General features: G+C 44.6%; 1 protein-coding gene across 2 annotated transcripts in view, besides 5 other annotated features; it reads right to left on the reverse strand.

Moving 5' to 3' along the window:
* TESK2 (testis associated actin remodelling kinase 2) overlaps nucleotides 1-22,606 on the reverse strand; it is a 147,281-nt gene extending 124,675 nt beyond the window's left edge. For both annotated transcript variants that reach the window (NM_001320800.2, NM_007170.3), the window contains exon 1: nucleotides 22,295-22,606. The gene's annotated coding sequence lies outside the window, so the exon portion shown is untranslated. The remainder of the gene's footprint in view (nucleotides 1-22,294) is intronic.
* Nucleotides 4,998-5,047: a silencer, noted in NCBI's record as "silent region_829". NCBI's record gives its function as "represses an Ori minimal core promoter by ATAC-STARR-seq in GM12878 lymphoblastoid cells {active_cell/tissue: GM12878}" and the evidence as "EXISTENCE:reporter gene assay evidence [ECO:0000049][PMID:35858748]".
* Nucleotides 22,264-22,313: an enhancer, noted in NCBI's record as "active region_970". NCBI's record gives its function as "activates an Ori minimal core promoter by ATAC-STARR-seq in GM12878 lymphoblastoid cells {active_cell/tissue: GM12878}" and the evidence as "EXISTENCE:reporter gene assay evidence [ECO:0000049][PMID:35858748]".
* Nucleotides 22,544-22,763: a silencer, noted in NCBI's record as "silent region_830". NCBI's record gives its function as "represses an Ori minimal core promoter by ATAC-STARR-seq in GM12878 lymphoblastoid cells {active_cell/tissue: GM12878}" and the evidence as "EXISTENCE:reporter gene assay evidence [ECO:0000049][PMID:35858748]".
* Nucleotides 22,544-22,894: a biological region, named in NCBI's record as "Sharpr-MPRA regulatory region 45".
* Nucleotides 22,600-22,894: an enhancer, noted in NCBI's record as "tiled region #45; K562 Activating DNase unmatched - State 1:Tss, and HepG2 Activating DNase unmatched - State 1:Tss". NCBI's record gives its function as "activates a minimal TATA promoter and a strong SV40 promoter by Sharpr-MPRA in K562 cells, with weak activation in HepG2 cells {active_cell/tissue: HepG2 | K562}" and the evidence as "EXISTENCE:reporter gene assay evidence [ECO:0000049][PMID:27701403]".

Below are 24,894 nucleotides of genomic sequence, written 5' to 3' on the forward strand. Positions count from 1 at the left end.
AAATACATTATTTCAAATATATGACATTTTATGATGGTTTCTGCCTCTGGATTACCTCTCTTGGTCTTATATATTGAGTATTATCTATTGATACTAATAGTGTCCCTCAAAGTATTAATATACTTTTTTTGGAACAGAGATAACTACAGTTACCATCACATTACCAGAAAAACATAAGGCGTTATTGTCACAATGATGGGGGTGTGGGATGAGCACTACTGGTATTTTAGTGGGCAGGTGCTAGGGAAGCTAAATGTCCTACAATGCACAAAACAAAGAATTGTCCTGCCCTAAATGCCAATAATGCCCTGGTTGAGAAACACTGTGTTAGAGAAGCTTAATCATTTTTGTTCTTAGACTAGGAAATAGCATTTAGCAGTCTTTCAAAAATGCCCAAATTATGTGGCTTATAAGGACACAAGTAATTTTTTAGTAACTATGTTCTCAACTTAAATATTATAAACTTGGAAGTTCAAAACTTTTTCTTTTCTACATAGGTAGGTTTGTTTTTTCAAATATTAATTTCATTTATATAGGAGTTGATTTGTTTTTCACAAAGAAAATACAACTAAAAGCTTTGATTGGGGAAAGTAATTTGAAAAGCTACCAATTAAAAAAAAGTTAGTGAACTAAATAGCCTATCTTCAATATTATATTTTTTAATCTTTCCAAAGTAAGAATTCCAAAAATCATTTTTCAGAAATATCAAGGAAATTTTTAGGACTCTCAGACCACACTCCTGTCTGAAATATGCTTCTGGAAATAATAACTGCAGCCACTATTTACTACAGACCACGCATTCTACCAAGGGTTTTGTATGTTATCTGTAATCTTTGTGACAACTCTGCAAAGCATGTATTATCATCTCTAATTTAAAGAAAAAGAAATCAAAATCCTGAGAGATTATGACTTCTCCAAATATAAACAACTAGTGAGACTCAGGATTCAAATCTAGTAGTTTCAAACCTAAGCACTTCCCATTATAACATGTCTCCTTCAGAAATACATCAAATTTCTGTGAAAAATGATTTGTGGGTTAGCTACGTAGAAAGCTACTACTATTCCCCAACTTCCCTCAACAGGGTGAGTAAAAAGTGTACAAATGATGGCTCTACCAGTCTCTGAGGCAAAAGCCTTCCTTCAGTCATTCAATCACATTCTACAGACAGAAAAATCAGTATTGATTTAAACAGGCTTTCTAAAGAATGGATGCCATGCTGACAGGGAAAATATGCCAAATCCCAATCATTCTCTATTTTCCATTCTAATGCACAGTATCTGCTGTTTCTCACCCCTTCATTTCAGCAAAACAAAGTAGATACAACTTCACAATAGTCCAGACACAAATTTAATCCTGCAATGCACTAGAAAGCTATCTACCAACAGGTAGCTGGATTTGGCAGTGTCAGCCAGCAATCAAAAATTGTCAATGTCCATCCAAATATGGAATCATATGTGCACAAAGTTGGTAATATTATCCCACAAAGTCATCAAAAAAGATTTCTGAGAATTCAGTGGACTTTCACACCCTAGATATAAAGAGTAGAAAAAGACTGCAAACATAATATACCAATATCCTCATCACATTGTTTTCTTTCTATAATCATAAAAAGTCCCCACCTAATCCAGAATAAATTAAGGATTCATTATGAGTAATATGTAGCCCCGAAAACTGGCCACTTATTTTCTAGAATGGGAATACTGACAAGTACATTAGCTGTGTATCAATACCAAACACATGGCAAATCTACATGACAAGTCTGCTCAGCTGTTATTCTTTCTATGGACCAACACAGCTAATACAGACACGTTTCAGGATGACTATCTAATTAAAAATAAAAGCAATACTGCTGAGCTTACCTTCCTGCTGTGAAATAATGAGTTGCAGTTTCCATTCAAACCAAAGGCAATCTAGCATAAAAACTGGCATCCCTTATCTAATTAACCACGAATATACACAATGGCATATATTAGTACCAGACAGATCAAAAGCCAGTTCTTAAAAGTGTATTAGCTCTTCTAAATAAGCATCATATTTGCTGTGTAACTTCAATCCACCAGGCCCTAAGCCATGACATAAAACAGAAACTTAGGGTGAAAGTTATAAAGGCAGTTAGAGATGAACTAGTTTAATCTTTAGACCAATTCAGGAATCCCCTCTATTAGCTGACTCAAATGTTAATTGGGTAGCCACTAGGTGCAAGGCTTTAGGACAGGTGCTATAGTATTTACTGAGCATTTACTATAATCCAGATGCTTTTCCAAGTGCTTTACATTTAATATCCATAACAGTCCTATAAAATAGATGCCATTATTACCCCCAATTTACAAATGTGTAAACGAAGGCATTAAGGAATTAACTTGCCCAATCTCACAACCAAGAAGTGGTAGAAGGCTGAGCACAGAGGCTCACACCTGTAATCCTAGCACTTTGGGAAGCTGAGGCAGGTGGATCACGAGGTCAGGAGGTCGAGACCATCCTGGCCAACATGGTGAAATCCCATCTCTACTAAAAATACAAAAATTAGTCAGGCATGGTGACGTGCACCTATAGTCCCAGCTACTCAGGAGGCTGAGGCAGAAGAATCACTTGAACCCAGGAGGCAGAGGTTGCAGTGAGCTATGATCACACCACTGCACTCCAGCCTGGTCGACAGAGCAAGACTCCGTCTCAAAAAAAAGAAGCGGAGGAGCCAGAATTCAAACCCAGAGGCTGTACTCTTAATCGCTATGTTAATATTGCCTCTCTGGTAGGAGGATGTACAAAATGGAATAAAACATGACTCCACCTTTCCAAGAACTCAGTCTCCTGAAAGATACATGTAAATCAATGAATATAATAGAGTACAATAAGATAATTTTTTTTTTGAGACAGTCTTGCTCTGTTGCCCAGGCTGGAGAACAGTGGTGCGATCTCGGCTCACTGCAACCTCTGCCTCCCGGGTTCAAGCGATTCTCCTGCCTCCACCTCCCGAGTGGCTGGGACTACAGGCACGCACCACTATGCCCAGATAATTTTTTTGTATTTTTAGTGGAGATGGGGTTTCACTATGTTGGCCAGGATGGTCTCAATCTCTTGACCTGGTGATCTGCCCAACTCAGCCTCCCAAAGTGCTGAGATTACAGGCATGAGCCACTGCACCCAAACAAGATAATTGTTAATGACAGATAAGAGGGAAGGCTTAATTAAGGTACTGGCAGTGAGGAAAAAGAAGTGAGAGAAGATAAGTGACCATTTTTTTAGAGATGGGGGTCTCACTATGTTGCCCAGGCTGGACTTTACAGGCATGATCACTGCACACTACAGCCTCGAACTCCTAAGCTCAAGGGATCCCCTTTGCCTCAGCCACCTCAGCCGCCTCAGCACTACCATGCTGAGCAGAGATAAGTGACATTTTTAAAAAGGTGTTCTGGCCAGGCGCAGTGGCTCACGCCTGTAATCCCAGCACTTTGGGAGGCCGAGGCGGGTGGATCATGAGGTCAGGAGATCGAGACCATCCTGGCTAACACGGTGAAACCCCGTCTCTACTAAAAATACAAAAAAATTAGCCGGGTATGGTGGCCGGCACCTGTAGTCCCAGCTACTCGGGAGGCTGAGGCAGGAGAATGGCATGAACCTGGGAGGCGGAGCTTGCAGTGAGCCGAGATAGTGCCACTGTACTCCAGCCTGGGCGACAGAGCAAGACTCCATCTCAAAAAAAAAAAAAAAGGTGTTCAAGTCCGGGCACCGTGGCTCACACCTGTAATCCCAGCACTTTGGGAGGCCAAGGCGGGCAGATCACCTGAGGTCAAGAGTTCGAGACCAGCCTGGCCAACATGGGGAAACCCCACCTCTACTAAAAATACAAAAATTAGCCAGGCATGGTGGCAGGCACCTGTGATCCCAGCTACTTGGGAGGCTAAGGCAGAAGAATCGCTTGAACCCAGGAGGCAGAAATTGCAGTGAACCAAGATTGCGCCATTGCACTCCAGCCTGGGGGACAAGAGCAAAACTCCATCTCAAAAAAAAAAAAAAAAAAGGTGATCAAGTAGACATATGAGGTACAAGAGGTACCCAGATGACTCCAAGTTTAACTAGAATCCCTCCCATGTTTCTGGTTTGGGTAACTGGGAGAATGGCTAGCCATTCACCTAAAGGATATGATGTGTAAGGAGACGCAAATTCTTCTCAGATCTTACTGAGTTTAAGTTGCCTGAAGGAACACCAGTTAACAATGTCCAGGAGGCTGTTGGAGACACCATACTGGAGCTTAGGAGAGAGGACTAGACTGAAGATGTACACTTAAAAGTTACTAGCATGCCGGGCGCGGTGGCTTACGCCTGTAATCCCAGCACTTTGGGAAGCCAAGGCAGGCGGATCACAAGGTCAGGAGATTGAGATCATCCTGGGTAATACGGTGAAACCCTGTCTCTACTAAAAAAAAAAAAAAAAAAAAATACAAAAAAATTAGCCAGGTGTGGTGGCGGGTGCCTGTAGTCCCAGCTAATCGGGAGACTGAGGCAGGAGAATGGTGTGAACCCGGGAGGCAGAGCTTGCAGTGAGCCGAGATCGTGCCACTGCACTCCCTGGCAAGACAGTAAGACTCCGTCTCAAAAAAAAAAAAAAAAAGTCACTAGCACTTACTAAAAAATTTCCCAAAGTACAGAATATGACTCTAGGTAATACCGAGTTCCTACCATGCACCAAAGCCCAGGCACCTTCTTTTTGTGCTTAGGTGAAAGCAGGTAAGTGGTCAAGGGAACATCAATATATACAGGACAAAAAAAGGAAGAGTATACAAATGAGACTAAAAAGGAAAAACGCAAGAATAAAACCAGAAGAAAGTATATTGCCATTGATAGTAATGACAAAAACCACAATTACTTTTGCACCAACCTAATATGTCACAGAAACCAAAAGTGGAAACAACACACATATCAAATACCACAAAGTAGTATATGGTATGAAGAAAACTGTCCACTGGATTGGACACTACAGAAGGCAGAGTCAGCCTGGCCTACTAAAACAACACCAGTAACAAAGAGCTCACTACAGTAGTCTGTTCTATTATTGCAAAGTTCTGGTTGTTAAAAAGCTTTTCTTCTTTCCAATGACATAACAAAAAGCAAACGCATTGGAGTACACACTACTATGTTCAAATTCTGACTCTGAAGAATTAACAGTTAAAATAACCAAATGCAATGATGATACTTGGCTAGATCCTGATTTGAACAAACCAGCTATAAAAGACAATTAGGGATTTTTTTTTTTTTTTTTAAGATAAGGTCTTGCTCTGTCACCCAGGGTGTAGTGCAGTGGCTCAACCATAGCTCATTTGCAGCCTCAAACGCCTAGGCTCAAACAATCCTCCCGCCTCAGCCCCCCAAAGTGCTAGGATTACAGGCATGAGCCATCATGCCCAGCCAATTGGGGAAGTTTTAATAAGCACGACTACCAGACAATAGTAGAAAATTACTGTTAATTTAGTTAAGTATAATAATGATATTAAGATCATATATGACATTTTTTGGCCAAGCGCAGTGGCTCACACTTTGGGAGGCTGAGGCAAGCAGATCACCTGACCTCAGGAGTTCGAGACCAGCCTGGCCAACATTATGAAACCCTATCTCTACCAAAAATACACAAAAAATTAGCCAGGTGTGGTGGTGCATGCCTGTAGTCCCAGCTACTCAGGAGGCTGAGGCATGAGAATCACTTGAACCCAGGAGGCGGAGCCTGCAGTGAGCCAAGATTGCACTCTAGCCTGGGTGATGGAGTGAGATTCGGTCTCAAAAAAAAATTTTCTGGGCCATGCACAGTTGCTCACTCCTGTAATCCCAGCACTTTGGGAGGCCAAGACAGGAGGACTGCTTGAGGCCAAGACTTTGAGACCAGCCTGGGCAACATAGCAAGACCCCATCTCTTTTTTTTTTATTGTATTTATTTATTTTTTGAGACGGAATGTCTCTCTGTCGTGCAGGCTCAAGTGCAATGGTATGATCTCAGCTCAGTGCAATCTCCACCTCCTGGGTTCGAGCGATTCTCCTGCCTCAGTCTCCTGAGTAGCTGGGATTACAGGTGCGTACCACCACGCTGGGCTAATTTTTGTATTTTTAGTATAAATGGGGTTTCACCATGTTGGTCAGGCTAGTCTCGAACTCCTGACCTTGGCCTGCCTTGGCCACCTGCCTTGGCCTCCCAAAGTGCTGGGATTACAGGTGTGAGCCACCACACCTGGCCTCCATCTCTTTTTTTTTTTTTAATGCAGTTTCTGATCTTCTGTGTATACTAAATGTATCTATAACTTTATATGCTGGAATATGAAATAACACAAAACTAATATTGGACCCGATGCAAATAATGTGAGATGGTAAAGCACTAGGTGAATTTATGAATTTCCAGGATAATATCTCCTTTGATCAATTTTCCTAGTTAAATATGAGAAGGCCTGAAAAGGACCACTTGGGGCAGAAAGGCAACTCATGGGCTGGGTGCACAGCATGGCAACAGAGCAAGACTCTATCTCAAAAAAAAAAAAAAAAAAAGAAAAGAAAAGAAAGGCAACTCACCTTTTCTTCTGATGTTAGAGGGCTATTTCAGAATTTCAGAGACTGTGGGAAAGAAAGTAATCAAGAGGAAAGAGGAAGTTAGGTTCCTTGTGTTAGCCTGGCCTTTTTTTTTTTTTTTTTTTTTGAGTCTCGTTCTGTTGCCCAGGATGGAGTGCAGTGACGCGATCTTGGTTCACTGCAACCTCCACCTCCTGGGTTCAAGCAATTCTCCTGCCTCAGCCTCCCAAGTAGCTGGGACTACAGGCATGTGCCACCACGCCTGGCTAATTTTTGTATTTTTAGTGGAGACGGGTTTTCATCATGCTAGCCAGACTGGTCTCGAACTCTTGACCTCAGGTGATCCACCTGCCTCAGCCTCCGAAAGTGCTGGGATTACAGGCGTGAGCCCCCACCACACCCGGCCAAGAGAATATTTTTATAGCCATGAAAAATGACAGTTGCTATCAGTACACAAAGATATATGTACAAGAATATTAAAGTATAAATTGTTGGTAACTGTGATGGTTAATACTGAGTGTCAACTTGATTGGACTGAAGGATGCAAAGTATTGTTCCTAGTGTGTCTGTGAGGGTGCGGCCAAGGGAGATTAACATTTGAGTCAGTGGAGTGGACGAGGAAGACCCACCCTCAATCTGGGTGGGCACCATCTAATCAGCTGCCAGTGTAGCTAGAATAAAGCAGGCAGAAGATGGAAAAGCAGACTTGCTGAGTCTTCCGGCCTTCATCTTTCTCCCATGCTGGATGCTTCCTGCCCAAGAATGTCAGACTCCAACTTCTTCAGCTTTTGGACTCTTGGACTTACACCAGTGATTTGCCAGGGGCTCTCAGGCCTTTGGCCACAGACTGAAGGCTGCACTGTCAGCTTCCCTACTTTTTGAGGTTTTAGAACTTGGACTGATTTGTCACTGGCTTCCTTGCTCCTCAACTTGCAGACGGCCTATCGTGGGACTTTACCTTGTGATCATGTGAGCCAATCTTCCTTAATAAACTCCCTTTCATATATACATATATCCTATTAGTTCTGTCCCTCTAGAGAACCCTGACTAATACAGTAACAGAAAAATGGAGACAATCCAAATATCCAAAAATAGAGATAGATTAAATAAATTACAGTACAGGCCAGGCACAATGGCTCACACCTGTAATCCCAGCACTTTGGGAGGCCCGAGGCAGGTGGATCATTTGAGCTTAGGAGTTTGAGACCAGCCTGAACAACATGAGGAGACTTTGTCTCTACAAAAAATACAAAAATTGGCTAAGCGTGGTGGCCCATGCCTGTAGTCCCAGCTACTTGGGAGGCTGAGGCAGGAGAATCGCTTGAGCCCAGGAGCGGAGGTTGCAATGAGTCAAGATGACACCACCGCACTCCGGCCTCGGCACTAGAGCAAGACCAATCAATCAATCCATGTGCATCCATACAACTTAATATTATGTAGTCATTAAAAGAATGAGGTAGCTAGCCAGGCGCGGTGGCTCACACCTGTAATCCCAGGACTTTGGGAGGCTAAGGTGGGAGAATCACAAGGTCAGGAGATCAAGGCCATCCTGGCTAACACGGTGAAACCCCATCTCTACTAAAAACACAAAAAATTAGACAGGCCTGGTGGCACACGCCTGTAGTCCCAGCTACTTGGGAAGCCGAGGCAGGAGAATTGCTTGAACATGGGAGGTGGAGGTTGCAGTGAGCCGAGATCACGCCACTGCACTCCAGCCTGGGAGATAGAGTGAGACTCCATCTCAAAAAAAAAGAATGAGGTAGCCAGGCACAGTCACTCATGCCTATAATCCTACCACTTTGAGAGGCCAAGGGGAGGATCCCTTGAGCCCAGGATTACAGACAGGAGCCACCGCACCTGGCCGATTTTTTAATTTTTTGAAGAGGTGGGTTCTTACTATGTTGACTAGATTGGTCTTGAATTCCTGGCCAACGTGGTGAAACCACGTCTCTACCAAAAAAAAAAAAATACAAAAATTAGCCAGGCGCGGTGGCACATGCCTGTAATTCCAGCTACTGAGGAGCCTAAGTGAGGCAGGAGAATTGCTTGAACCCAGAAGGCAGAGGTTGCGGTGAGCTGAAATCGCACCACTGCACTCCAGCCTGGGTGACAGAGTGAGACTCTGTCTCAAAAAAGAAAAAAAAAATCAAAAAAACAAATACAAAAGATATAGTCATTAAACTGAATTCATACTGATATATAATAGATGGAATTTCTTTAACTTTCTGATAGAGGTTTGCTTCCTTTAATATTTTTTCCTGATAAAAGTTCAGGAAAGTAAATTTCAGGCAGGTGGATCACCTGAGGTCAGGAATTCAAGACCAGCCTGGCCAACATGGCTAAACCCCGTCTCTACTAAAATACAAAAATTAGCCGGGCATGATGGCGGGTGCCTGTAATTCCAGCTACTCGGGAGGCTGAGACGGGAGAATCACTTGAACCTGGGAGACGGTGGTTGCAGTGAGCTGAGATCACACCACTGCACTCCAGCCTGGGCAGCTGAACGAGACTCCATCTCAAAAACAAAAAAAAAAAGAAAGATTTTAACCAAATTTCAGACTAGCCAGAAGGAAGCAACCTGTAACTGTTCAGACAATACAGGTGACAGTTAAAAATCTTCAATGATATCTGTTGCTTATAAAATTCTTTAGCCCGGCATTCGAAGACTCTGCTCCACTATAATTAGGCTAATCATTATTCCCTACTCTGCTCCACTATAATTAGGCTAATCATTATTCCCTACACTTAACGCACCCTTCTGATGTAGTGTTGACTTTCTGCCTCAGCTTATATGATGTTCATGTCATTCTAGCTCTTGTAGTAATCTGACTATACTACTTACTTGGCACTCAATTAATGTCTTTTTGGTCTTCCTAGCTCCACTCTCACACTTTTTTCAATCTGTTTCACCAGGCTAAGTAAACTTCTGAGAATCATTCATGTGTCATACAAAAGTTCTGCCTCATTTGACCCCTACCCACATCTCCAGCCTCATCTATGTCCATTCCTCTATCTGCAGTCACAATCTACTCCAAACATAGAGAATTGCTATATTTGTAGAGCCCTGCTCACACTTCAATATCTATGCATGTAATATTCTTTCTCCCTGGTGTGTTCTTCCCAGATTCTTCCACATGACTCTCTCAGTAATCATCTCATGTGGGAGGTGTTCTCTGACCCCTCAATCTCATTTTCTGTGCTTTGATATCACCCTGCACAAGTCTTAGTTATTATAGTCATCATATAGTATTTTAATTGTTGCTTATCATCTCTTTCACTGGACTATGAGCTTCCAGACTATGAGCTCTTTTAGTTCAAGCTAAGGGCTTGGACTCAAACTTACCTTCAAACTATGGCAATACAAAGTATAATACTACAATATTGAGTCAAAATGTACAGTGGAGAAAAAGCAAAATAAATAGGACATCGAGATTCCACATTTTCAATGTAAAAAACATACTCCTTCTTTCATTCACTCAGCCAACATATATTTATTTAGCACCTCTTACGGGCCAGGCACTATGCCAAATCCTGGAGAGATGGTGACGACAATATAGACATACACAGACAAATAATTCTGAGAGGATACAGTCCAAAATGTTAACAATGGTTTTTAACTTTTTTTTTTTTTTTTGAGACAGAGTCTCACTGTGTGGCCCGCTCAGGCTGGAGAGCAGTGGCACAATCTCAGCTCACTGCAACCTCTGCCTCCTGGGTTCAAGCAATTCTCCTGCCTCAGCCTCCTGAGTAGCTAGGATTACAGATGCACACCACCATGCCCAGCTAATTTTTGTATTTTTAGTAGAGACGGGGTTTCACCGTATTGGCCAGGCTGGTCTCAAACTCCTGACCTCACATAATCCGCCTGTCTCAGCCTCCCAAAGTGCTGGGATTACAGGGGTGAGCAACCATACCCAGCCTGTTTTTAACTTTTTGAATCATGGGCAAATTATGAATAATGTGTATCTTCTCCTTTAAAATCTCTATTTTCCAATTCTTCCTTAATGAATATGCATTACTTTTATAATCGCCAAAAAAATTTTTAACATCCTTCCAAAATACAAATTCCTAACAAACAGTAGCAATACAAAACCCAAAGTAAATACTATGTAATGTGAAAGTGAAACAAATGTTGAGAACTTTTAGTCAGATTCTAGTTACACCTAATACAAAGAATAATAGGACTAAGTATAAAAAATACTTTATGATTTCCATAGTGAAATCATTGTGGAAGTCATTGTGAAGAAGATTCCATGAAATTGTCCAAGGAAAACACTGACCACAAGATCAATACCACCCTAGTTTTCCATACTGCAGAAAGAAAAAAAAAATTTTTTTTTTTTGGAGACGGAGTTTTTGCTCTTGTTGCCCAGGTTGGAGTGCAATGGCTCAATCTCGACTCACTGCAACCTCTGCCTCCTGTGTTCAAGCAATTCTCCTGCCTTACCCTCCAAAGCAGCTGTTACAGGCATGCGCCACCACGCCCAGCCCCCCCAAAAAATTATATTATTCTATTTTATTTAATTCAGAGGAAGAGAGAATAGCCTCCACACTTGTTCCAAAGACAAATTAATAAATAACACCATATTTAATCTGTATAATGATTTACAGTTTACAGTTCACAGAGCATTTTGATCTTCACAATAATTGTTTTCTTGTTCCCATCGGATAGATTAAAAAAATAAAGGACTGAAATGCAGAAGGCCCTTCTTTTTTTTTTTTTTTTTTTTTTTGAGATGGAGTCTCACTCTGTTGCCCAGGCCAGAGTGCAGTGGCAAGATAGATCTCGGCTCACTGCAACCTCCATCTCCCTGGTTCAAGCCATTCTCCTGTCTCAGCCTCCCGAGTAGCTGGAACTACAGGCGCATGCCACCACACCCGGCTAATTTTTGTATTTTTAGTAGAGACGTGATTTCACCATGTTGGTCAGCTGGTCTCGAACTCCTGACCTCAGGTGATCCACCCGCCTCAGCCTCCCAAAAAGTGCTGGGATTATAGGCGTGAGCCACCACGCCCAGTCAGGCTCTTCTATCTTTTTTACTCAATATCCAAAAGCTATAAAAGAAAAGACTGAGGGCCGGGCATGGTGGCTCACACCTGTAATCCCAGCACTTTGGGAGGCCGAGGTGGGCGGATCACAAGGTCAGGAGTTCGAGATCAGCCTGGCCAATAGGGTGAAACCCCATCTCTATTAAAATATAAAAATTAGCTGGGCGTGGTGGCACACACCTGTAGTCCCAGCTACTCAGGAGGCTGAGGCAGAAGAATTGCTTGAACCTAGGAGGTGGAGGTTGCAGTGAGCCAAGATTGCGCCACTGCACTCCAGTGTGGGCAACAGAGCAAAACTCAGTCTCCAAAAAAAAAAAAAAAAGAAATCTCACTTCTGTGAATTTATCCCACAAATATCCTTGCACACATATAAAATGACACATTCAAAGGCCCTTTTTACAGCATTGTTTATAATATCAAAACACTGGAAACATAAATGTCCATTATAAGGAATTAGTTAAATAAATTATGATACATCCATTCAATGGAATACTATGCAGGTGATTAAAAAGAAAATAATAATAATAATAAATGAATAAATAAATAATATATATATAGGCCACAGTGGCTCACACTTGTAATCCCAGCACTTTGGGAGGCCAAGGTGGGTGGATCACCTGAGGTCAGGAGTTCGAGACTAGCCTGACCAACATGGTTAAACCCCGTCTTTACTAAAAATACAAAAATTAGCCAGGTGTGGTGGTGCACACCTGTAATCCCAGCTACTCAGGAGGCTGAGGCAGGAGAATCACTTGAACCCGGGAAATGGAGGTTGCAGTGAGCTGAGATCGCACCACTGCACTCCAGCCTGGGTGATGAAGTGAGATTCTGTCTCAAAAAAATAATAATATATATAACCAAAAAAAAAGAATGAGGAAGCTCTCTATGTACTGATCTGGAAAGGTCTCTAAGATATATAAAGTAAATAAGCGGCCGGGCCTGGTGGCTCACGCCTGTAATCCCAGCACTTTGGGAGGCCGAGGTGGGCGGATCACGAGGTCAGGAGATCGAGACCATCCTGGCTAATACGGTGAAACCCCATCTCCACTAAAAATACAAAAAATTAGCCAGGCGTGGTAGCAGGCGCCTGTAGTCCCAGCTACTCGGGAGGCTGAGGCAGGAGAATGGCGTGAACCCAGGAGGCGGAGTTTGCAGTGAGCCAAGATTGCGCCACTGCACTCCAGCCTGGGCGACAGAGCAACACTCCGTCTCAAAAAAAAAATAAGCAAGATTGGGGGTGGGAAGTGCAGAACAGTGGGGAACCATGGGCAACTGTACATGAAAAGTGGGAAAAACAGGACTATACAATTGACCCTTGAACAACACGGGTTTGAACTGTACAGGTCCACTCATGTGCTGTAGTTATTCACAAGTGTGATCATAGCACACTATGGCCTCAAACTCCAGGCCTCGAGTAATCCTCCCACATCAGCCTCTGGAGTAGCTGAAACTACAGGCAAAGCTGTATTACATACAGATTTTTTTCAACAAATATATTTTTTAAATTTTTGGAGATGTATAACATTTTGAAAAAAACTCAGAAACAAAACACCTAGCCTAGAAACATCAAAAAAATTAAGAAAAAGTTAGGTATGCCATGAATGCAGAAAATATATGTAGATACTAGTCTATTTTATTATTTACTATAAGATATATACAAATCTATTATAAAAAGTTAAAATGTATAAAAACTTATGCACACAAATACAAACCATACATGGTGCCATTCATAGTCAACAGTAAACAAATGGAAAGGTGCAGTATTAAATCACAACTGCATAAAATTGACTATAGTATATACTGTACTTCTGTAATAATTCTGGAGCCACCTCCTGTTGCTGTTTCAGTGAGCAAGTGTTGTGAGTAGCCCCTAAAATGCTGTGTGATGCTAATCGTCTCCACGTGAGCAGTTCCTTCCTCCAGTAAAAAGTGTCACAGTAAAAAGTGATCTCTCAAGGTTCGTGCATATTTTTCATCATGCTTAGTGCAATACTGTAAACCCTGAATAACACCATGAGATCCATACCAAGTGCCACTAATGCTGGAAGTGCTCTCAAGAAACAGAAAGGTCATGACATTATACGAAAAAGTTGGCCAGGCATGGTGGCTCACACTTGTGATCTCAGGACTTTGGGAGGCTGAAGGCAGGAGGATTGCTTGAGCCCAGGAGTTTGAGACCAGCCACGGTAACATAGTGAGACCATGCCTCTACAAAAAAATAAAAACTTATCCTGGAGTGGTGGCACACACCTGTAGTCCCAGCTACTCAGGAGACTGAGATGGGAGGATGGCTTGAGCCTGGGAGGTCGAGGCCATAGTGAGCTATGATCAGACCACTGCACTCCAGCCTGGGCAACTGCCCCTGTCTCAAAAAAATAAATAAATAAAAATTTGAATTGCTTGATATGTACCACAGATTGAGATCTGCAGCAGTAGTGGTCAGCCATTAAAAAAAAAAAAAAAAAAGTAAATTCATGAAGCCAGGCTATGCAATGCCAACAGCAACAGCAGTTAAGTTTTGCGGGAAGTCAAAAATTATACCTGGGGCCAGGCGTGGTTGCTCACACCTGTAATCCAGGCACCCTGGGAGGCCAAGGGGGGTGGATCACCTGAGGTCAGGAATTTGAAACCAGCCTGGCTAACATGGTGAAACCCTGTCTCTACTAAATATACAAAAATTAGCTGGGCGTGGTGGCAGGCCCCTGTAATCCCAGCTACTCGGGAGGCTGAGGCAGGAGAATTGCTTGAACCCAGGAGGTGGAGGTTGCAGTGAGCTGAGATGGCGCCATTGCACTCCAGTCTGGGTGACAAGAACAAAACTCCAATTCAAAAAAAAAAAAAAAATGTCCGGGCGCAGTAGCTGACGCCTGTAATCTCAGCACTTTGGGAGGCTGAGGCGGGCAGATCACAAGGTCAGGAGATCAAGACCATCCTGGCTAACACGGCGAAACCCCATCTCTACTAAAAATACAAAAAAAATTAGCCGGGCATGGTAGCGGGTACCTGTAATCCCAGCTACTCAGGAGGCTGAGGCAGGAGAATGGCGTGAACCCAGGAGGTGGAGCTTGCAATGAGCTGAGATCACACCACTGCACTCCAGCCTGGACAATAGAGAGAGACTTCGTCTCAAAAAAAAAAAAACAACAACAACAAAAAAGAGGAGCCGGGCGTGGTGGCTCACACCTGTAATCCCAGCACTTTGGGAGGCCGAGGCAGGCGGATGGCCTGAGGTCAAGAGTTCAAGACCAGCCTGGCCAACATGGTGAAACCCTGTCTCTACTAAAAATACAAAAAAATTAGTTGGGCATGGTGGCGCACACCTGTAAACCCAGCTACTCGGGAGGCTGAAGAGGGAGAACTGCTTGAACCCGGCAGGCAGAGGTTGCAGTGAGCTGTGCCATTGCACTACAGCCTGGGCAACAAGAACGAAACTCCGTCTCAGAAAAAAGAAAAAAAAAAAAAGGAAATTAATGAAGCCAGGTTATGCAACACCATCACCAACAGCAGTAGTTAAGTTTTGCCGCGAGGGGGCGGCGGAGGGGGGGTCAAAAATTATATTTGGGGCCAAGGCACAGTGGCTCATGCCAGTAATTCCAGCACTTCCGGAGGCTGAAATGGGAGGAGTGTTGATGCCCAGGAGTTTGAGACCAGCCTAGGCAACATAGGGAGGCCCTGTCTCTACAAAAAAAAAAAAATTAGCCAGGCATGGTGGCATGCACCTGTGGTCCCAGCTACTCATTCAGGAGGCTAAAAAGGGAGGATCACTTGAGTCTACAAAGTTGAGTCTACATCGAGCCATGATCCTGCTACTGCACTCCAACCTGCGCAACAGCAAGAGATTCTGTCTTAAAAAAAAAAAAAATTATACTTGGATTTTCTACCGCACAGGGGTTGGCTTCCCAACCCCTGTTTTGTTCAAGGGCCAACTGTATCATTTCATTTTTAATTCTTCTTTTTTTTTTTTTTTTTTTTTGAGATGGAGTCTCCCTCTTGTCGCCTAAGCTGGAGTACAGCGGCGCGATCTCGGCTCACTGCAACCTGCGCCTTCCTGGTTCAAGTGATTCTCCTACCTCGGCCTCCCGAGTAACTGAGATTACAGGCACCTGCCACCATGCCTGGCTAATTTTTGTATTTTTAGTAGAGACGGGGTTTCACCATGTTGGCCAGGCTGGTCTCAAACTCCTGACCTCAGGTGATCCACCGGCCTCTGCCGCCCAAAGTGCTGGAGTTACAGGCGTGAGCCACCACGCCCAGCCATATATTCTTATTTGTAAGCATTCGCCTAAAGAAAGTCTAAAAGAGGCCGAACGCGGTGGCTCATGCCTGTAATCCCAGCACTTTGGGAGGCTGAGGCGGGCAGATCACTTGAGGTCAGGAGTTCAAGTCTAGCCTGGCCAACACGGTGAAACCACGTGTCTACTAAAAATTAAAAAATTAGCCGGGCGTGGTGGTGCACGGCTACTCAGCTACTCAGGAGGCTGAGGCTGGAGAATCGCTTCAACCCGGAAGGCGGAAGTTGCAGAAAGCCGAGACTGCGCCACTGCACACCAGCCTGGGCGACAGAGTGAGACTCTTGTCTCAAAAATAAAAAATAAAGGGCCGGGCGCGGTGGCCCAAGTCTGTAATCCCAGCACTTTGGGAGGCCGAGGCGGGTAGATCACAAGGTCAGGAGATCGAGACCATCCTGGCTAACATAGTGAAACCCTGTCTCTACTAAAAATACAAAAAATTAGCCGGGCCTGGTGGCGGGCGCCTGTAGTCCCAGCTACTCGGGAGGCCGAGGCAGGAGAATGGCGTGAACCCGGGAGGCGGAGCTTGCAGTGAGCCGAGATCGCGCCACTGCACTCCAGCCTGGGCAACAGAGCGAGACTCCGTCTCAAAATAAATAAATTAATTAATTAAATCAAATTAAATTAAAAATAAAAAATAAAGTCTAAAAGAATATAAAGAGACTATTCAAAGTGTTTGGGAGAGGGCATGGAACCAGGTTAATAAAGAACAGAGATGGAAGTAAGATTTTTCACTGTTTTGTTTTTTGTTTTTTGTTTTTTTTTGAGATGGAGTCTCGCTCTGTCGCCCACGCTGGAGTGCAGTGGCGCGATCTCGGCTCACTGAAGCTCCACCTCCCGGGTTCACGCCCTTCTCCTGCCTCCGCCTCCTGAGTAGCTGGGACGACATACATGTGCCACCACGCCCTGCTAATTTTTTGTATTTTTAGTAGAGACGGGGTTTCACCGTGTTAGTCAGGATGGTCTAGATCTCCGGACCTCGTGATCCGCCCGCCTCGGCCTCCCAAAGTGCTGGGATTACAGGCATGAGCCACCGCGCCCAGCCGACTTTTCACTGTTATATAAATTTATTTTTTATTTTATTTTTTTTTTTTTGAGACGGAGTCTCACTCTGTCGCCTAAACTGCAGTACAGTGGCATGATCTCGGCTCACTGCAACCTCCACTTCCTGGGTAGAAGTGATTCTCCTGCCTCAGCCTCCCAAGTAGCTGAGATAGCAGGCGCAGGCCACCTCACCCAGCTAATGTTTCATATTTTTAGTAGAGAAGGGGGTTTCACCATCTTGGCCAGGCTGGTCTCGAACTCCTGACCTCAAGTGATCCACCTGCCTCAGCCTCCCAAAGTGCTGGGATTACAGGCATGAGCCACCGCACCCAGCCCTAAATTTATATATTAAAAAAGTTTACATTTAATAACCAGTTGAATGTATTATCTATTCAAAGATTAAATGTATCTTAAAAAAAAAAACTAAAGCTCACAAAAGATAAGTAATTTGCCTTTATATTAACCATCATATAGTTAATAACAACAGAGTTGAATACAACTAAGGTTTTCCTAATGTTCTTTTCCTTTTATCACACTGCCTTTTGGAAATTTTCAGGAATGGAAGACATAAAACTTATTACAACCAGGCTTTTCTCTGAAACAGCCACTGCCTGTGATTGTTCAGGGAAAATAACACTAGTGAGACTACACTGAAGTCATCTCCATATGATGACTTTGTAAATAGTATAATAGCCATTGTTGGGTCAAAACATTCACCATCACCCACACAATACAATGTAATAATTGGGCTTCATCTACTAGAAGGAGATGAAATTCCCATAAATGCCTTTACCATAGGTTTCAAATTCCAACACTACATTCTTTTTGCAAAACAAAATGAAATGTATGACACTAAGAATATATGTATAAATACTTTCATACAGGGAAGAAAGCATAAAAGCAAGTCAGTTTTCTCCTCAAAATAAGTCCGGGATGAGCATATTTAAATGTGTAATTTTCTTTTTACAATTAACTAAAACCTTTTGAGACCAGCCTGGCCAACATGGTGAAACCCCATCTCTACTAAAAATACAAAAATTAGCCCTGCATGGTGGCCCTCGCCTGTAATCCCAGCTACTCAGGAGGCTGAGGGGCAGGAGAATGGTGTGAACCTGGGAAGCGGAGCTTGCAGTGAGCCGAGATCTTGCCACTGCACTCCAGCCTGGGTGACAGAGCAAGACCCCATAAAAAAAAATTAATTAAAAAAAAAAACAAACGCACACACACACAATTAACTAAAACCATAAAAAAATGTTACTGAGGATCCTGAGGTGGAGAGTCCCTAGCCTCCCAGCATACACACACACACACACACACACACACACACACACACATATATACATTTTTTTTTTTTGAGACGGACTTTCGCTCTTGTTGCCCAGGCTGGAGTGCAGTGGCCCGATCTCGGCTAACCGCAACCTCCACCACCCGGGTTCAAGCGATTCTCCTGCCTCAGCCTCCCAAGTAGCTGGGATTACATGCATGCACCACCACGCCCAGCTAATTTTTGTATTTTTTTTTTCAGTAGAGACAGGGTTTCTCCATGTTGGTCAGGCTAGTCTCGAACTCCTGACCTCAAGTGATCCACCCGCCTTGGCCTCCCAAAGTGCTGGGATTACAGGTGTGAGCAACCGCACCCAGCCAGCACATATATTTTAAACAGAATCAAAGCCCATCATATGTCAAGCTTACAAAGGATTTTTTGTGTTTGAGGGTCTATCCCAAACATATATCTGTAAGAGAGAATAACACATCATACATCCAGGGCATCAAGTATCTGAGGATATCACCATTAATTCATATACAAACATCTGTACCATTTGGTACTACTTTTCAACAAGTGCCAAGGAACCACCAATCCAACTCTGGGTCCCTCCTTGGTGAGCAGGCCCACCTATAGGACTTACTATCTCCTCTGCTCAATCTCCTGCTATCATGCTGGACAACTGTGACATTCATATTGATGACATATTCAACACAGCCCCCTAATCTCCCACTACTTCAATAACCTACACCTCCATTCCCCTTCAACAGCATTGAGACAGTTAAGCCAGTTTTTGTCTTTACCTTGAAATAATGAACTCTGGGCTGTCCAATTATATATTTCTTACAAAATCTGGTCTTCAACCACATTTCTGATTGTCTTTTTATTCTCTAAGTACACCAGCCTCCCTCTAGATTTTGCTTCTTATAACTCCCAGCTTGGTCCCTTGGAATGAAACATATCTCCTACACTATCAATAGCAGTGTAAAGTTGCTTCCCATTTTATCTTTCTGTCCTGCAAGTTTCCATTTTGAATCAATCCAACCATCTTTTTTGTCCTACTATTCTTAGGCTGTTGAAGAAAGTGTAAAATCCATGCTCCTGGGCCCCATTACAAATATATTATTTCTAACTAGTAGGACCCTCAATGTGGTCAACAATCTTTTAGCTCCTGAGTTTTTTTTTGCTTTTTTTTTTTTCTTTCCCCCAGGCTGGAGTGCAGTGGTACAATCTTGACTCCCTGCAACCTCAGCCTCCCGGTTCAAGCAATCCTCCCACCTCAGCCTCTCCAGTAGCTGGGACAACAGGCATGCACCACCACACCCAGCTAATTTTTTAATTTTCTGTAGAGACGAGGTCTCACAATGTTGCCCATGCTGGTCGCAAACTCCTGGGCTCAAGCGATCCTCCCACTTCAGCCTCCCAAAGTGCTGGGATTAAAAAATCCAAAGTGAGCCACTACACCTGGCCAACAATTTTTTTTGTTAAATCTTTATTCTCTTTCATTTTCCATTTAAGATTCCCATGGCCATAATACTCAAGTCAGAAACTCACCATAGTGTCTTCAGTCTCCAAACTGACTTCTCCACAGATAAGTAATCACATCGATAAGGCCATCTGTTAAACTCCCTCACTTTCCTTCCCTTCTACCACATCATTATCCATTTTCACTACTATCCTTTTGGTGTCAAAGGGCAAAATGCCTGACTGACATATTTCCTAGATGAACCTTCCCCTCACTTACAGAACTGTTTCACCTGTACTGAAAAGAAAAACACACATGTGCCATAATGGAAAGAACACAGGTTTCAGAACTAGACATACCTGCTCAAATCCTTGTCCACAGTACTCTCCACTGTAAAAGAGGGATACTGACATGTTAACCACAAGGCTGTTGTGATCTATAAAGCATCTTTATGTACCTGGCATATAGTATATTCTCAATAAAGATGAGTTTCACTAGAACCAGCTCTCCTTCACAACCAAACTCTGGAGAATAATTTTACTCATTTCTCCTCATTTATTCCTCAATCCATCATGATCTCACTACTACCTTCTTTGCCATCCCCACCCTACCAAAACTGCATTTCAGAGGAAACAAGTGACCTCCTGATTGCTAAATATAGGGCAGGCCAGGCATGATGGCTCACCCCTGTAACCCCAGCTCTTTGGGAGGCCGGGGAAGGCAGATAGCTTTGAGCTCAGGAGTTCGAGACCAGCCTGGGCAACGCAGAGAAATCCCGTCTCTACAAAAAATACAAAAAATTATCTGGGTGTGGTGGCTCCTGCCTGTGATCCCAGCTACTCAGAAGGCTGAGGTGGGAGGATCCGAGACTGCACCACTGCACTCCAGCCTGGGCGACAGAGTGAGACCCTGACACCAAAGAAAAAAAAAAAAAAGCTTCTTAACTCTCATTCAGCTGGACCTCGAAAGCACGTGACATTGATAGTCACCGCCCCCCACTCCCTTCTTGAAATCCTTTCTTTGGCTCCTATTATAATGCTGTTATGTTCTAGTTCTTGTCCCGTTCCTTTAATCTCTCTTTTTCAGTGTCTATTACCTTTCAAACAATGATGCTCCTTCTGGTCCACAGCCCTTCTCATCTTTCAGTATTACCATTCCATACTAAGGCACACAAATATCCCCCATATATTCTCTTGACCCTCCAAATTTATGTATCCAGGTCCAAGCTTTCTCCCAATTTTCAGACCCAAATTTCCAGATACCCACAGTGATATTTCAAAACACCTCAAACTCGGCTGGGAGCAGTGGCTCACGCCTGTAATCCCAGCACTGTGGGAGGCCGAGGTGGGCGGATTGACTGAGGTCAGACGTTCGAAACCAGCCTGGCCAACGTGGGGAAACCCCGTCTCTACTAAAAGTACAAAAATTAGCCGGACGTGGTGGCGCATGCCTGTAATCCCAGCTACTCGGTAGTCTGAGGCAGGAGAATCGCTTGTACCTGGGAGGAGGAGGTGGCAGTGAGCTGAGATCGTGCCACTGCACTCCAGCCTGGGTGACAGAATGAGACTCCGTCAAAAAAAACAAAAACTAACAAACAAACCCTGAAACTTAACTTGTTCAAAACCAAATTTATTACCTTCTCTCAAAATTGCTTTTTTATGCTCCCTATTTCAGATGAGATCAGGAGCGTTGAGGGTGGTATAACCAGAGACTATGTTCCCTATTTCAATTAACACTACCGATTCACACCATCAGCCAAGTCAGAAACTTTCTACTATTCTTCTCAACTTTATTTTGAAACCTCTTGGAATTTCGGGCCATTCCCTCCCGCCTGGATGAGCACACTCGTTTTCTGCCTACCTGGCCTTTCCGCCTCCACGGTCTTCACTTTCAATCCTTCCTCTATATTTTCACCAAAGATAATGCAATCATACCAAGCTCCTGCTTACAAAACCTTCAACGGCTCCCCATGCATGCAGCATGAAGTCCAAATTCCTCAGCAAGTTCTTCTCAGAGGTATACAATTTAAAGACTTTTAAATTACGCAAACCTGGATTTCGCTTGTAGCGAAATCTGAACACTGGCTTAGTCCACTCTTCACAGCGAAGAGTAAAAAGCAGAGAGGGGAAAGGAAGGGAGACGATGACAAGCGAGGAAAGAAGAGGGGGAAGGCAGTAGGGTCTGAGGGGAGGGAATTGTTTTCCTGGGTAGAGGTGAACGTTTTCGAGGGAAGAGTGTATCGGAGGGAAGTCAAGTGAAGGAACCCAGATCTCTGAGGCAGGAGCGGGTATGCGAGCAGGGAGGCGCTCAGTGGGGAGCTGGAAGTCTCTGAAACAAGAGTTTTCCGAGAAAACGAAAGATCCCTAATGCGAGCGAGGTAACTTCTAATGGGTTCCCAGGTTCTAAGGGGGAGCAGACGTGGCGGGGAGCCTGAGGGAAGTGAGAAGGAAAGGGGAAAGCGGCCAGGAAGGGAGCGTCCGCCGCCGCTGAGAGGGGGACCTCTGGGAAGCCGAGGGGTCCCGTCGGGTGCGGAGGGACGCAGGCGCCTCTGCTCCGGGGCAGAGGAGGTGGAGCGGCAGCGCGCGCGGGCCAGGCAGGATGCCCGGGTTTGTGACCCCCGTCCTCTTTTCACGTTACCTGAGGCAGGACTGAGCAGCCAGAGGGGTGCCTGCGCGGGCAAGAGGAGGAGACGGCGGCAAAGAGGGAGCATAGTAACCCTCACAGCTCGTTGGTGGCAGCGGCTCCTTAGCCTGCGGAGGCGGTGGGAGCCCCTAGCGCAGAAGCCGGCGACTCAGCTAGGCTAGCGGCGGCGGCGAACGAGGAGACTACTGCCATGGCCCCACAGTCGGGGCCGCTCCCCCCGCCTGTTTGGCGGGGCCAGGAGGACGATCCGACCAGCGAAGCCAACAGGGCAGCTGGTAGCTCTGCTGAGCTCCCGGGCCGCGAAAGACTGAAACGCCTACCCGGCCCAGCAGGGGGGTTGGGGGCGGGGTCTCGGCTGGCCACGCCCCTCCCTCAAGCCCTCCCTCAGAGTAGCCAGTCAACCGTCAACTCCTGATAAACGAGGTAGTGGAATTGCCCAATTAGCGCTAGGAATGCCACGTGGTATGAGGGTGGGCACAATGGGCGTCCAGAAAAGCCAATCAACAGCCGTAGGTGCCAACTCCGGAGGACGAAGGGAACCAATAGGAAGGAAGTCGAGGTAAAAACAGAAGAAGCAGTGTGTGGGAAAGGCGGAACCGAGGAGGAGGGAATACACCTGGGGGAAACCCAAGTCCAGGAGCCTCTTAGAGGGCGGGGCAGTAAACACAAGATGGACCAATAAAAATGTTAAACACAGAAATGATTGGTAATTGATAAAGCCAATAGAAAATGGACTAGACTGGCGCGGCTTTCGGGTTGGTCAAGGTATAGCTGAGTAAGGAAAAGCGGTAAGAATGCTGCGTCCTGCAGGATTTCAGTATAGTGAGGAGGAAAAAATATATCAATAATACCGACTTGAAATAGTAAGAGCAATCAGTAGAGCTAAACAAAATGCTAGGGAAGCAATTAATCATGACTATGAGATTCGGTTAAGTGAAAGCTTAGAGGAGGTAACACTTCAGCTAGCTTGAAAACAGATTTTGAAAGAAAGCTGGTGGGGAATAAGTTGGGATTTTTTGTTGTTTTTGTTGGTTGTTTTTTTTTTAGAAGGGTCTCACTCTGTCGCCCAGGATGATGGAGTGCAATGGAGCGATCATGGCTCACTTGCAGCCTCAAACTCCTGGATTAAGATGATCCTCCCAACTCAGCCTCCCCGGATAGCTGGGACTACAGGCACACGCCAGCATGCCTGACTAATTTTTTGTATATTTTGTAGAGACGGGGTTTACCATGTTGCCCAGGCTGGTCTGTAACTCCTGGACTCAAGTGATCGGCCCACGTTGGCCTACGAAAGTGCCGGGATTACAGGCGTGAGCCACCGCTCCCAGCTAAGAATTCTGCCCAGCTGTTCAAGGCACATATTTCTTCACTTTTTGCATGTGCCTGGACATCAGGAGCTCATAATCTCATGACTGAAGAGACTAGAACAGGAGGAGGGCAAGAGCAAGCAGTATGGGCCTTACTGTATTAGCACTCCCAGGGGTTAGAGACCCCTTTTCAGACATCTTAAGACTTTCATCCTCCTGGAAGAGTATAAGTGGTATGCATTCCTGGTGGCCATAAAGTTTAAGAAATATGGCCAGGGCCGGGAGCAGTGGATCACGCCTGTAATCCCACCACTTTGGGAGGCCGAGGCAGGGGGATCACGAAGTCAGAAGATCGAGACCATCCTGGCAAACATGGTGAAACCTCGTCTCTACTAAAAATAGAAAAATTAGCTGGGTGTATTGGCGCGTGCCTGTAGTCCCAGCTACTCAGGAGGCTGAGGCAAGAGAATCGCTTGAGCCCGGGAAGCAGAAGTTGCAGTGAGCCAAGATCGCACCACTGCACTCCAGCCTGGGCGACACAGCAAGTCTCCGTCTCAAAAAAAAAAAAAAAAAAAAAATATGGCCAGACACAGTGATTCACTTCTGTAATCTCAGCACTTTGGGAGGCCAAGGTGGATCACTTGAAGCCAGGAGTTTGAGACCAGCCTGGGCAACATAGCGAGACCCTGTCTGTACAGAAAAAAAAAAAAAAATGAGCCCAAAATGGTGGCATGTACCTGTGGTCCTAGCTACTTGGGAGGCTAAAGCCAGAAGATCACCTGAGCCCAGAGGTCAAGGCTACAGTGAGCTGTGGATGGTGCCACTGCACTCCAGCCTGGACAACAGAGCAGGACCCTGTCCCAAAAAAATATAAAAAGAAAGAAAGAAGTGTGGTAGGAGATATTGGAGAGAGAAGAGGCTGCATGTGGGTTGGGCTTAAATGCCAATATTCAAATTTGTCTTTTGTTTTTTATGCTGTGAGAGCTATTCTTGAGCAGGACCATAAACTAAACAGGGCAGTGTTTTAGGAAGATTAATTGGTAGCTCACAGAATCTCTGAAGGGAGAAGAGAGATCACCCCAGCCCAGTCCCCCTGACCAAAGGCTTTTTGGTACCATTCTTCTGGCAACAAATCATGTGCTGCCACCTGGTGACAGCTCAAATAACAATTTTCCACATTGCTATTTAATATTTCTGTTGAGGTTGGGTGTGTGGGCTCAGACCTGTAATCCCAAGGGCTTTGGGAGACTGAGGTAGGAGGATCTCTTGAGCCCAAGGGTTTGAGAC

This window comes from Homo sapiens, chromosome 1 (genome assembly GCF_000001405.40).
Source record: "Homo sapiens chromosome 1, GRCh38.p14 Primary Assembly".
Classification (NCBI taxonomy): Eukaryota; Metazoa; Chordata; class Mammalia; order Primates; family Hominidae; genus Homo; species Homo sapiens.